The sequence below is a fragment of the Homo sapiens genome, chromosome 17 (assembly GCF_000001405.40).
Source record: "Homo sapiens chromosome 17, GRCh38.p14 Primary Assembly".
In the NCBI taxonomy this organism is placed as follows: Eukaryota; Metazoa; Chordata; class Mammalia; order Primates; family Hominidae; genus Homo; species Homo sapiens.
In genome coordinates, this window is record NC_000017.11 from 76,513,432 (window position 1) to 76,526,462 (window position 13,031).

At 53.6% G+C, this 13,031-nt stretch overlaps 1 annotated feature.

Moving 5' to 3' along the window:
* Positions 8,602-8,759: a silencer, noted in NCBI's record as "fragment chr17:74518115-74518272 (GRCh37/hg19 assembly coordinates)". NCBI's record gives its function as "represses an EF-1alpha promoter that drives an FKBP-Casp9 reporter gene in an ReSE screen in K562 erythroleukemia cells {active_cell/tissue: K562}" and the evidence as "EXISTENCE:reporter gene assay evidence [ECO:0000049][PMID:32094911]".

Consider the following 13,031-nt stretch of genomic DNA (forward strand, 5'->3'; position numbering starts at 1 on the left):
AAACACAGAGAGAGACTTGAGACAAGAGCAACACAGAGAGAAGGCCACGTGACCGCAGAGGCAGAGGCTGGAGTGACGCTGGCCTGGCCCAAGAACTCCTGGGGCCACCAAAGGCTGACAGAGGTGAGGAAGGATCCTTCCCAGAGGCTTCAGAGGGAGTGTGGCCCCGGCCCCCACCTTGACTTGAGACCTGTGGCCTCCAGCACCCTAAGAGAATCGATCTCTGCTGTTTTTTGTTTTTTGCTTTTTTTTTTTTTTTTGAGATGGAGTCTTGCTCTGTCGCCCAGGCTGCAGTGCAGTGGGATAATCTCAGCTCACTGCAACCTCTGCCTCTCGGGTTCAAGCAATTCTCCTGCCTCAGCCTCCCAAGTAGCTGAGATTACAGGCACCCATCACCACACACAGCTAATTTTTGTATTTTTAGTAGAGATGGGGTTTTGCCATGTTGGGCAGGCTGGTCTCAAACGCCTGACATCAGGTGATCCACCTGCCTCAGCCACCCAAAGTCTGGGATTACAGTCGTGAGCCACTGCGCCCGGCCGATTTCTGCTGTTTTAAGCCACCGAGTTCGTGGTCATTTGTTACAGCAGCCAGGGAAACCAACATCATGGGTGATTCCCTTTCCCTAACGGGCTTTTCTGGCCTGCACTCCTGGCTCTCCTGGAGGCAGAACCCCCAGGTCCCTGCCCTGTCATGGGGCTCCCAGCTGGTCTCTTCCTTCACTGCTTCCAGGACCTGCTAGCCAGGCAGGGGAAGGGGGCTCCTCAGCACCCCAGCCTGGCCCCCAGGTAGGAGGTCTCATCGAGCTGTCTCTGTGAGCCACCCCACTTGCTTCTTGCTCTTTGCCTCTGCCCGACTAATGTTCAGTTTCTTCCCCTGCTCTTCTAATTCATTCAGCCATATTTCCCAAGTGTGGGTTGTGGGCAGGAGGGCCGGACAGTGAGGATAGAGGGACCGGGAAAAGGGATCCTCATTGTATTTAAAATTTTGGCATTTTCTTCATCATGGATTTGGGGAGGGGGGAGGTATTTTTTGTTGTTGTTTGTTTTGTTTTTTGAGAGAGAGTCTTGCTATGTTGCCCAGGCTGGTCTCAAATTCCTGAGTTCAAGTGATCCTCCCACCTCGGCCTCCCAAGTAGCTGGGGCTATGCGTGTGAGCCACTGTACCCGGCTAATTTTGATTTTAAGAGCTACTGTTGCTGGGAGTGGTGGCTCACATCTGTAATCCCAGCACTTTGGGAGCCCAAGGTGGGTGGATCACTTGAGGTCAGGAGTTCAAGACCAGCCTGGCCAACACAGTGAAACCCCGTCTCTACTGAAAATACAAAAATTAGCTGGGCATGGTGGCGGGTGCCTGTAATCCCAGCTACTTGGGCAGCTGAGGCAGGAGAATTGCTTGAGCCTGGGAGGTGGAGGTTGCAATGAGCCAAGATCGTACCACTGCACACCAGCCTGGGTGGCAGAGCAAGACTCTGTCTCAAAAAAAAAAAAAAAAAAAAAAGAGAGAGAGATGGCCGGGCGCGGTGGCTCACACCTGTAATCCCAGCATTTTGGGAGGCTGAGGTGGGTGGATCACTGGAGGTCAGGAGTTCAAGACCAGCCTGACCAACATGGTGAAACCCCGTTTCTACTATAAATACAAAAATTAGCTGGGTGTGGTGGCTCGCCCTGTAGTCCCAGCTACTCAGGAGGCTGAGGCAGGAGAATCACTTGAACCTGGGAGGCAGAGTGCAGTGAGCTGAGATCATGCCACTGCACACCAGCCTGGGCTATAGAGTGAGACTCTGTCTCACACACACACACACAAAAAGAAGGCGAGAAGGGGAGCCGGGGGAGAAATGAGCCTGGAAAGATGGCCCGGGCCAAATCAGGCGGGCTGGGGAGCCAGGCCAGGACTCTGCTTTCTGTTTGGCTGTGACTTCAGTAAGCTAGGGCAGGGTTTTGATGGGCCAGGGAGGAGTCCACGCGATCTGATTCACACGATAAAAGCATTTCCTGGGCCCTGAGTGGAGACCACAACGTGGGAGGGCAGAGCGGAGGCCGACGACTGGGAGGAGGCTTTGCAGTCGCCGGGCGAGACGATGGCTTTCTTTCCTGGCTCATTTCACACTAAACTGGGGACCAGCCAGAAAGCCTTGGGAACTTGTCAGACCCACATACGCTGCCACTGAGTCAACTGCTACTATCATCCCTGTGTGACCTGAACCGAAACCCACTCACTTGCGAAACTGCTGGAGGCTTCTTCACTAAAACCCATATGCATGCTAAGATCCTGGCGTAACATAAAATGTCATGTGCGTGTGCCGCGTAAAATGTGCGTGTGCACAGGAAAACCACTGCCAGTATTTACAGCAAAACACTCACAGTGACTCTCGGGTGGAGGGACCACAGGGGACTTTTATTGTCACAGCCCTGACTTCTGTCCTGCTTCAGACCAGACTCTCCAACCACTTCCTGGACACCTCCCTTTGTGCTTTTCTTTCCCCCTCAAATTTCCTGCAATGTTTTTTTTTTTTTTTTCGAGACAGAGTCTTGCTCTGTGACCCAGGCTGGAGTGCAGTGGTGTGATCTCGGCTCACTGCAACCTTCGCCCCTGGGTTTTTAAGTAATTCTCCTACCTCAGTCTCCTGAGTAGCTGGGATTACTGGCGCCTGCCACCACGCCCAGCTAATTTTTGTATTTTTAGTAGAGATGGGGTTTCACCATGTTGTCCAGGCTGGTCTCGAACTCCTGACCTTGTGATCCGCCCGCCTTGCCCTCCTGAAGTGCTGGGATTACAGGCCTGAGCCACCGCACCCGGCTGCCTTTGTTTTTGTTTTTGTTTTTGTTGTTGTTGTTTGAGACGGAGTCTCGCTCTGTTACCCAGGCCGGAGTGCATGGTGCGATCTCGGCTCACTGCAACCTCCGCCTCCTGGGTTCAAGCGATTCTCCTGCCTCAGCCTCCCGAGTAGCTGGGACTATAGCCACTTGCCACCATACCCAGCTAATTTTTGTATTTTTAGTAGAGACAGGGTTTCACCATATTGGCCAGGCTGGTCTCGAACCCCCGACCTCAGGTGATCCGCCCGCCTCGGCCTCCCAAAGTGCTGGGATTACAGGCGTGAGCCACTGCACCTGGTCTGTTGTTTTTTTTTTAAATTTTCTTTTTTTCACTCTCGCTGTCATCTTATACATATTGCCTTTGTAATCATATAGAATCCCCAGGAATGCTACTTCAAAAACTATGTATAAGGCCAGGTACCGTGGTGTATGTACACCTGTAGTCTCAGCTACTCAGGAGGCTGAGGTGGGAGGATGGCTGAGCCCTGGAGGTCAAGGCTGCAGTGAGCTCTGATTGCACCACTGCACTCCAGCCTGGGCGACAGAGTGAGAACCTGTCTCTAAAACAAAAACAAAAACAAAAAAAAAAAACTTTGTTAAAGAATTTTTTGGCCAGGCGCGCTGGCTTATGCCTGTAATCCCAGCACTTCGGGAAGTTAAGTCGGGCAGATCACAAGGTCAGGAGTTCGAGAACAGCCTGGCCAACATGGTGAAACCCCATCTCTACTAAAAATACAAAAATTAGCCGGGCGTGGTGGCTGGTGCCTGTAATCCCAGCTACTCGGGAGGCTGAGGCAGGAGAATCGCTTGAACCTGGGAGGCGGAGGTTGCAGTGAGCCTAAATTGTGCCACTGTACTCCAGCCTAGGCTACAGAGCCAGACTCTGTCTCAGGAAAAAAAAAGGTTTTTGTTTGTTTGTTTGTTTGTTTTTTGTTTTTTTAAGATGGGGTCTCTCTGTGTCGCCCAAGCTGGACAGCAGTGTTTAATTTTTTTTTTTTTTTTAAGATGGGGTCTTGCTCTGTCACCCAGGCTGGAGTAGAGTGGCACGATCATGACTCACTGTAGCCTCGACCTCTTGGGCTCAGGAGATCCTCCCACCTCAGCCTCCTGAGTAGCTGAGACTACCGGTGCACACTACCATGCCCAGCTAATTTTTGTAAAAGAAAAATTTTTTAAACAGAAAATTACTGTTATTGTTTTGGACAATGAACAGTATTTACTTTCTGTTTTTGGACTTAGACAAAGTCAAAGACTCACTTATCTCCCCCCCACCCCCACCCCTCCTACCCCTACTACAGAAAAGGCTCAGGGGAGGCAGGGATGGGCGTGGGTCCTTCAGGTCCCTGTTTGGGATTGGGCCTGTTTTCCCCCAGAGGAATGGCCACTGAAGTCGGGCAAGGAGACTGGTGCACTCATAGTAGCTGGATGGCGCTGTGGGCGGTGAGCGTATCATCCCACCCACGTGACCTATGCACTCACCCACCTTGTGAGGCCCAGTAATTCAGGACACCCCGGTCTTGCAGGAACTTTCTGTGCTCTGAAGGAGAAAGTCACCCGGCAGGGGCTGCTCTTGCTTCCAGTTCATGGTGCACGGCTCAGTAATCACATGCCATTCCCTGGCCAGTCCAACACTGTCCACAGCAAACCCAGTGCTGCCTGCTCTTGGACTGCTGGTGTGCCCTTCTCTCCTCAGACCTCCCCAGGTACCCCACAGCCCCGGCCTCTCAGGTCAGGAGCTGTCTCACAGCATTGAGAAGCACCAGCTGGGGTGGCCACCATCGTCCCTCGTCCCTTGTTGCATGTCTTCCAGCTGTGGCAGAGCCCACCTCCCCCTTCCCAGGCAGGCCCTTTAAGGTCATCCCCCTGCTAGAGTCTGAAGTCTGTGTCCCCCAGAAATTCACATGTTGCAATTAACCCCCAGGTGATGGTGTTAGGAGGTGGGATCTTTGGAAGGGAGTTAGGTCATTAGGGTGTCCTCATGAATGGGATTAGTGCCCTTACAAAAGAGGCCCTCTCAGAGAGACCCTTGCCCTTCCACCAGGTGAGGAGAGTAAGAAGGTGCCCTCTGTGGACAAGCAAGTGGGTCCTCACCAGACACCGACTAGAAGCCTCCTTGGTCTTGGACCTTCCAGCCTCCAGAACCATATGAAATACACTTCTATTGTTTATAAGCAGTCCAGGCACCTGGTTTATGGAACATTGTTAGGGAAGCTCAGATGGATGAAGACATCCCCTCTTTTTTTTTTTTTTTTTTTTGAGATGGAGTCTTGCTGTGTCACAGAGGCTGGAGAACAATGGTGCCATCTCAGCTCACTGCAACCTCCACCTCCCCGGTTCAAGTGATTCTCCTGCCTCAGCCTCCTGAGTAGCTGGGATTACAGGCACCCACCACTACGCCCGGCTAATTTTTTGTATTTTTAGTAGAGAGTAGGTTTCACCATATTGGCCAGGCTGGTCTCGAACTCCTGACCTCTCGACCTTCCCACCTTGGCCTCCCAAAGTGCTGGGATTACAGGTGTGAGCCATCACACCCGGTCAATATCCCCTCCTTTTCTTTTTTGAGGACTTCCCTCCAGCAGTCTTGCCCCCGCCTCCTGGCCCCCTGCATTGCCATCTCTCTCTCTCTCTCTGTCAGGGATCAGGCCACACAGAGGGGCTGTCATCTCCCTCTCCTGACCCCATGTCCTCCTGCACCTCAGCCTCCTATCTCTCCCTGACCACCATCGTTTACCCATACTTCCCACCCAGACCTCTCCCCTCCAGTCTCTGAATCAGCCAGGTCACGGTCCTGGGAACCACCCTGCCATCTGTCCTCACTGCTCTGGACCTAAGCAGAGTGCCCACACAGCTGCCCACTGGCCCAAAATGCTGTCCTTGCAGCCTCCTGGTTTTCCTCCCCCTCCCTGGCCCCTATTCTCCATGATGCCCCCTCCTCCATCCTCCCTCCCACTGACCTTCTCCTTCTGATCCCCTATCCCCCTGGCTTCCCCCCCACATCCTTCCTCCACCTGGCGTCCCCTCCCCCTGCTTCCCTCTCTCCCTGGTCCTCCCTCTCCTTGCCCTCTCCCTAGTCCCCCTTCTCCCTCAGCTGCCCCTCCCTGGTGCCCCCTCTGCCTGATCCTTCCTATCCCCCCATCTCCCTGATCCTCCTCCTTCCTAATCCTCCCTCTCCCGATCCTCCCTCTCCCTGGTCCCTTTATTCCGGACTCAGGGCTGATGGCTCCAGGGCTCTGTCCTCGCCCCTCTTTTCTTCCCACACTCTTTTCTCAGTGAGCTCATCCAATCCCAAATTTAAATCCCAGCCCTGACGTCTCTGTCCTGATTCAGGCTGGAGCCTCCAGTTGCTTCCTGGACCCTCATGCTTCGTGTGGACAAAGCGGAACCTCTGCCAAAGCCTCCTCTCCCCTGGCTATTCCCCCTCGAAAGTGGAGACTCTGTTTGCCAAGTTAAACAGGCCAGAAGCCCTGGAGTCCCCCTCAACTGTCCTCTCTTTCACCCCTCACATCCCATCCATCAGTAAATCACATTAAACGGGGCGTGGTGGCTCCTGTCTGTATTCCCAGCTACTTGAGTGGCAGAGGTGGGAGGATCGCTTAAGCCCAGGAGTTCCAGGCCGGCTTGGGCAACATAGTGAGACCCCATGACTATTATTTAAAAAGAGACTGGCCGGGCGAGGTGGCTCATGCCTGTAGTCCCAGCACTTTGGGAGGGCGAAGCGGGAGGATCCTGACCTATGAGGTCAGGAGTTTGAGACCAGCCTGGCCAACATGGTAAAACCCCGTTTCTACTAAAACTACAAAAACTAGCTAGGTACAGTGGCATGTGCCTGTAATTCCAGCTACGTGAGAGGCTGAGGTGGAAGAATTGCTTGAACCCAGTGGGCGGAGGTTGCAGTGAGCCGAGATCGCACCACTGCACTCAAGGCTGGACAACAGAGTGAGACTCTGTCTCCAAAAAAAAAAAAAAAAAAAAAAAGACTAAATGAGGTCCTGTTTCTCCTCTCAAACCCCTCCATGAGAGAAGAGGGAGGTTGCGTACATGGACGTGGACACCACAGAGGAGGGGGCTTGTCCAGAAGGGGAGTCAAAGAAGGTTCTGGGAAAGAGGCGCAGAGCGGCTCAAGGCTCCGTGAGGAAGGGAGACCATGTCAGCAGTGGAGACCCTGGGGGCGAGTGAGCAGAGACTGGGAGCTAGAGAAAGCCAAATCTGTGACGAAGAACATGCCAGGTAAGACCAGGCAAGTGTGTTGGCGCCAGGTCGTGGGGCCCTCGATGGCTAAGGAGCTGGGACTGTCTTTGGGAGGTGACCTGGAGCCACTGGAGATCCTGGAACAGGAGCAGTGGTGGCCACAGAGCTGGCGGCCTGTGCAGGATGGACTGGGGAAGGCAGGGAGGCCACCCCGTGCTTAGGCCTGAAGCAACCAGGGCAGTGGAAGGAACAAATAAAGACGGGCGGACAGGCTGGTAGGACTGCAACTGGTTGCTGTGGGGTGGGGGCAGAGAGGACCTATGATCAAGAAGTTAAAACTGCCGGGCACAGTGGCTCACACCTGTAATCCCAGCACTTTGGGAGGCCGAGGAGAGTGGATTGCTTGAGCCCAGTAGTTCAAGACCAGCCTGGGCAACACAGCAAAAACCCATCTCTACAAAAAAACACAAAAATGAGCCGGGCATGGTGCCACGTGCCTATAGTCCCAGCTACTTGGGAGACTGAGGTGGGAGGATTGCTTGAGCCCAGGAAGTGGAGGTTACAGTGAGCCGAGATTTCGCCACTTTGCTCCAGCCTGGGAGACAGAGTGAGACCCGGGGGATGATGTCTCCGTTCTTCCCCCAGGAAATAGTGAAATGGGACCTTGGTACTGGTGCGGTAGTAGGGGGCAGTTTCTGGACCACATGGCCAGGGCTGATCAGACCCCAGGTGGGCCCCAGGCAGGCTTACAGGGTGGCCTCCAATGAGAGCTTTGTCCACCCCAGCCGCTGAGAAAGGCTGGATCCAACAGTGTTTCTACAGCGTTTTTTTCACAGAGGAGATTGAGAGCTGGTCACTCCGTGATGGAAGGAAGGGAAAGTGGAGAAGCCCGCCCAACATGAGTGGTGTCCCAGGGACTTAAGGCTGCAGTGGGGGTGCGCAAAAGACAATGGGGGCCCTGATAATTATCAGAGGGTCAGGAGATGGTTGGGCCGGGAGCTGCCTTCCCCTAGTCTGCTGTTCAGTTCCCAGGCTCCTGGGCAGCTGCGCCGGTCTCTCCTTCTAGCAAGGCTGGGTCATGTGGCTTTCCCTGATCCCCAGAGACTGGACTCCCTTATTTCCAAGTATGTCTTTACTGTGCACTCCCCACACTCACTTTGTTTTTTGTTTTTTTGTTTGTTTGTTTTTTGAGACAGTCTCACTCTGTCGCCCAAGTTGGAGTGCCCTGGTGCCATCTCGGCTCACTGCAACCTCTGTCTCCTGGGTTCAAGTGATTCTCGTGCCTCAGCCTCCTGAGTAGCTGGAATTACAGGCGCTCACCACCACGCCTGGCTAATTTTTTTGTATTTTTAGTAGAGACGGGTTTCACCATATTGGCCAGGCTGGTCTCGAACTCCTGACCTCGGGTTTCACAATGTTGGTCAGGCTGGTATCAAACTGCTGACCTCAGGTGATCCTCCCGCCTCGGCCTCCCAAAGTGTTGGAATTACAGGCGTGAGCTGCCGTGCCCAGCCTCCCCACCCTCACTCTGGGAGCCCAAATAGGCCTTTGCTCCTTGCCACCAAAAGCTCCTGCCCCAGTGTCTTCAGCCCTAAGGGCCAAGTCCAAACTCATACTCTGCTGCAATCAATTCTTTTACCAAAGGCATCCAATGAGCAACTATGAAACCTGCTGCCCTGTGGGTGGGTGGGGGCGACTCTCTGGAGGTCAAGAGGAGTGTGTGCTGGGCACGGTGGCTCATGTCTATAATATCAGCACTTTGGGAGGCTGAGGAGGGAGGATCGGTTGAACCCAGGAGTTTGAGGTTGCAGTGAGCTGTGATCGCGACACTGCACTCCAGCCTGGGCAACAGAGCCAGACAGTGTCTCAAATAAATAAATAAATAAGATTTAAAAATGAGTGTTCTTTGGCTGAGGTCCCATGAACGTGCTACAGTAAGACACTACAATAAGACAGAACCTGGAATAGGGTGCAGCGAGTGAGGTGCTGGCCTGGGGCCCAAAATTTAAGGGGCCTAGTAATCAAGAGAAATAATATTGAAATACAATACTTAAAAAAATCAATGTTAAAACAAAAATATCAATGATGAAGAGAAATTGATTTTACTTTTTTGTTTTTGAGATGGAGTCTCGCTCCGTCGCCCAGGCTGGAGTGCAGTGTCATGATCTCAGCTCACTGCAACCTCCCCCTCCCGGGTTCAAGCGATTCTCCTGCCTCAGCCTCCCCAGTAGCTGGGACTACAGGCTTGTGCCACCACGCCTGGCAAATTTTTGTATTTTTAGTCGAGACAGGGTTTCGCCGTGTTAGCCAGGATGGTCTTGATCTCCTGACCTCATGATTTTCCTGCCTAGGCCTCCCAAAGTGCTGGGATTACAGGGGCGAGCCACTGCGCCCGGCCCAGATAAAATCATTTTACTTTATTTTATGTTTTGAGATGGGGTCTTGTTCTATTGCCCAGGCTAGAGTGCAGTAGCACGATCACAGCTCACTGTAGCCTGGACCTCCTGTGCTCAGGCAATTCTCCCACCTCGGCCTCCCAAAGTGCTGGGATTACAGGCGTTCTTTAAAAAAAAATTGACCATTTATTAACTTTTTCCACTTGGTTCCAACTATGGGGGTGACATTTTCCTGAGTGTGTACAAGGCTGCACAGAGAATCCCCCACTTCCTTCTCCTGCAAATAAACTGGGAAGGGATTCCTCCAGCTTCCTCGGTCTCAGGCTGCAGCGCGGCTGCAGCTCCCGAAAGTGAGGGAGCAAGTGGTCACCCCAGGAGGGTAATGGGATCCGCGGCGCAGGAGGCGGCTCCCGGGTGAGGATCCCTCCGCGGCCAGCAGGGGACGCTGTGGGGCTGCGCCGCCAGGACCGTTTTGCCAGGGAAGAAGCCATCGCGCACCTGGGTTCGTGACACCCGCGTCGCTCACAGCCCCAGCTCGCCCGGGGAGCTGACCCACTTGCTCAGCTCCTGGGCGAGATAGCTAACTCTGGGTGTAGAGAACAAAACCAAAGCCGAGACGTTGCTCCTTACCCACTAGTCCCCTGCACCCAGGCATAGCCCACCCAGAATACCACACCTTCCCCCAGCAAGGCCTCTGGGGTATCCTGTTTGTCCCAGGTCCAAGTAGCATCCCCAGCCCGGGTCTGGCTGATTCGCTAATTGCCAGTGTCCTCTCTATTGGGAATGGAGAGCAGGAAGAACCTTCCAGAAGGGCCACATTCTCGAAGGATTCCAGTTTTGATGAGTTCAGAAGCCCCTTCACCATTCTCAAGCCAAGTGGTATGAAATGAGGAGGGGGGCCTTTCTTCCCTGATCGTCTCCCTCACCCCCGACCTCAGATGCCCCTTTTCCTCTGATAGTCCCTACGGCCCATGGCTCTGTGATCCCCATTGGCTCCGGTTCCAGCTCTGGCTTGCCTGGGCCCACCAGGGGCCCTGGGCCCAGGACTTAGAAGCTCTCCTGGGTTCCTTCTATTTCTTTTCTTTTCTTTCTTTCTTTCTTTTTTTTGTTTTTGAGACAGAGTCTTGCTCTTGTTGCCCAGGCTGGAGTGCAATGGCACAATCTCGGCTCACTGCAACCTCCGCCTCCTGAGTTCAAGTGATTCTCCTGCCTCAGCCTCCCAAGTAGCTGGGATTACAGGCGCCTGCCACCACGCCCGGCTAATTTTTGTATTTTTAGTAGAGACGGGGTTTCGCCATGTTGGCCAGGCTGGTCTCGAACTCGTGACTTCGTGATCCTCCTGCCTCAGCCTCCCAAAGTGCTGAGATTACAGGCGTGAGCCACTATGCCCAGCCTCTTTTCTTTTCCTTTTTCTTTTCTTTCTTTTCTTTTTTTTTTTTTTTTTTTTTGAGACGGAGTCTCATTCTGTCGCCCAGGCTGGAGTGCAATGGCGTGATCTCGGCTCGCTGCAACCTCCGCCTCCTGAGTTCAAGTGATTCTCCTCCCTCAGCCTCCTGAGTAGCTGGGATTACAGGCGCCCGCCATCACACCTGGCTAATTTTTGTATTTTTAGTAGAGACAGGGTTTCAGTAGAGACACGGTTTCACCATGTTGGCAAGGCTGGTCTGGAACTCCTGACCTCAAGTGATCCACCTGCCTCGGCTTCCCAAAGTGCTGGTATTACAGGCATGAGCCACCGCGCCCAGCTGGTTCCTTCTATTTCTTTTGCTTTGCCTTCCGACGTGGCCCTGATGGCCTGACAGTCACTGTCCCCTGCACTGTGGCGTCCATCCTCCTCCTCCTCGTACCTGCCTTGCAAGGCAGGCTTCATGTTCACTCCTGCAGTGAACATGAGGCAGGAAGAGACCGCATAAGTTAGAGGTGACTGTGGCTCAGAAAGGCTGCGTGACTTGCCCAAGGTCACATAGCAGTGAGAGATGGAGTGTGGGCCCAGAGCCAGCACGCTGTCTTTTGGCATTGCCTCCCTGGAAAGGCGGGGCCCGCACTGTCCTCTCTGCCCTGCACTGTTTTAGTTCACACAGCTCACTCTTGGCCCGTGCCGGGTATTTGTCTTGCTTTCTAAGAGTGTTTATTTATTGATTCTTTGGATTTCTACTTAGTTCCTCCCCTGTGCCAGGCCCAGGAGACAAAGGCGGAGGCTGCACTCAAGGAGTTCATGGTCTGGGAGACAAGACTCTTCCTGCGTGTCAGCTGAGTCTTCCCAGGCAGCCCGCAGGACTCCCAAGGGGCAGAGGCTGTTTCCTGCTTCTCCTGCAGCCCACCCGGGGCTGGTGACCTCCTGGTCCCTTCTCAGGGAGCTGCTGCTGCTGCCGCCTCCATCGTCGGGTGGGGGCTGGGCAGGCCTGACCCAGCAGACTATGGGGTGAAGGATAGAGGGCTGAGGAAGGGGTCTGGGAGCTGAGAGCTCAGGGAAGGTGTTGGGGGTTTAAAGCTGATGAAAGCAGTCTTCCTTTCTCAAACACCCAAGGGCTGATCCACCGCATGTAACTTGAGCAGCAGGGCCGGGCCCTCAGCTTTGCCTGTGCGCAGCCTCCGGTGTTCAGGTGTAGAAGGTCAAGGTTCAGGCCAGGCACGGTGGCTCACGCCTATAATCCCAGCACTTTGGGAGGCCGAGGTGGGCGGATCACCTGAAGTCAGGAGATCAAGACCATCGTGGCCAACATGCTGAAACCCCGTCTCTGCTAAAAAATACAAAAATTAGCCGGGCGTGGTGGCACATGCTTGTAATCCCAGCTACTTGGGAGGCTGAGGCAAGAGAATCGCTTGAACCCAGGAGGCAGAGGTTGCGGTGAGCTGAGATTGTGCCATTGCACTCCAGCCTGAGCAACAACAGCAAAACTCCGTCTCAAAAATAAATAAATAAATAAATAAAAGAAGGTCAAGGTTCAAGGTTCAATCCTTGGATCTATCACTAAAGCACTGGGACAAACAGGGCCCTTCTGCCTTCTGTCTGGATATCTCGCCTCTGATTCCTTCATCTCTATTGTACCCTTGCTGGGAGGCGATTTCCAGAACCAAATCTTAAAAACCTCCTGACTTTTTTTTTTTTTTTAAGACGGAGTCTCGCTCTGTCCCCCAGGCTGGAGTGCAGTGGCCAGATCTCGGCTCACTGCAAGCTCCGCCTCCCGGGTTCACGCCATTCTCCTGCCTCAGCCTCCCGAGTAGCTGGGACTACAGGTGCCCGCCACCACGCCCGGCTAATTTTTTGTATTTTTAGTAGAGACGGGGTTTCACCGTGTTAGCCAGGATGGTCTCGATCTCCTGACTTCGTGATCTGCCCGCCTCAGCCTCCCAAAGTGCTGGGATTACAGGTGTCAGCCACCACACCCGGCCTTGTTTTTTTTTTTTTTTTTTGAGACTGAGTGTTGCTCTGTTGCCCAGGCTGGAGTGCAGTGGCCCGATCTCAGCTCACTGCAACCTCCTCCTCCTGGGTTCAAGCGATTCTCCTGCCTCAGCCTCTTGAGTAGCGGGACTACAGGCACGCGCCACCACGCCTGGCTAATTTTTGTATTTTTAGTAGCGATGCGGTTTCACCATGTTGGCCAGGATGGTCTTGATCTCCTGACCT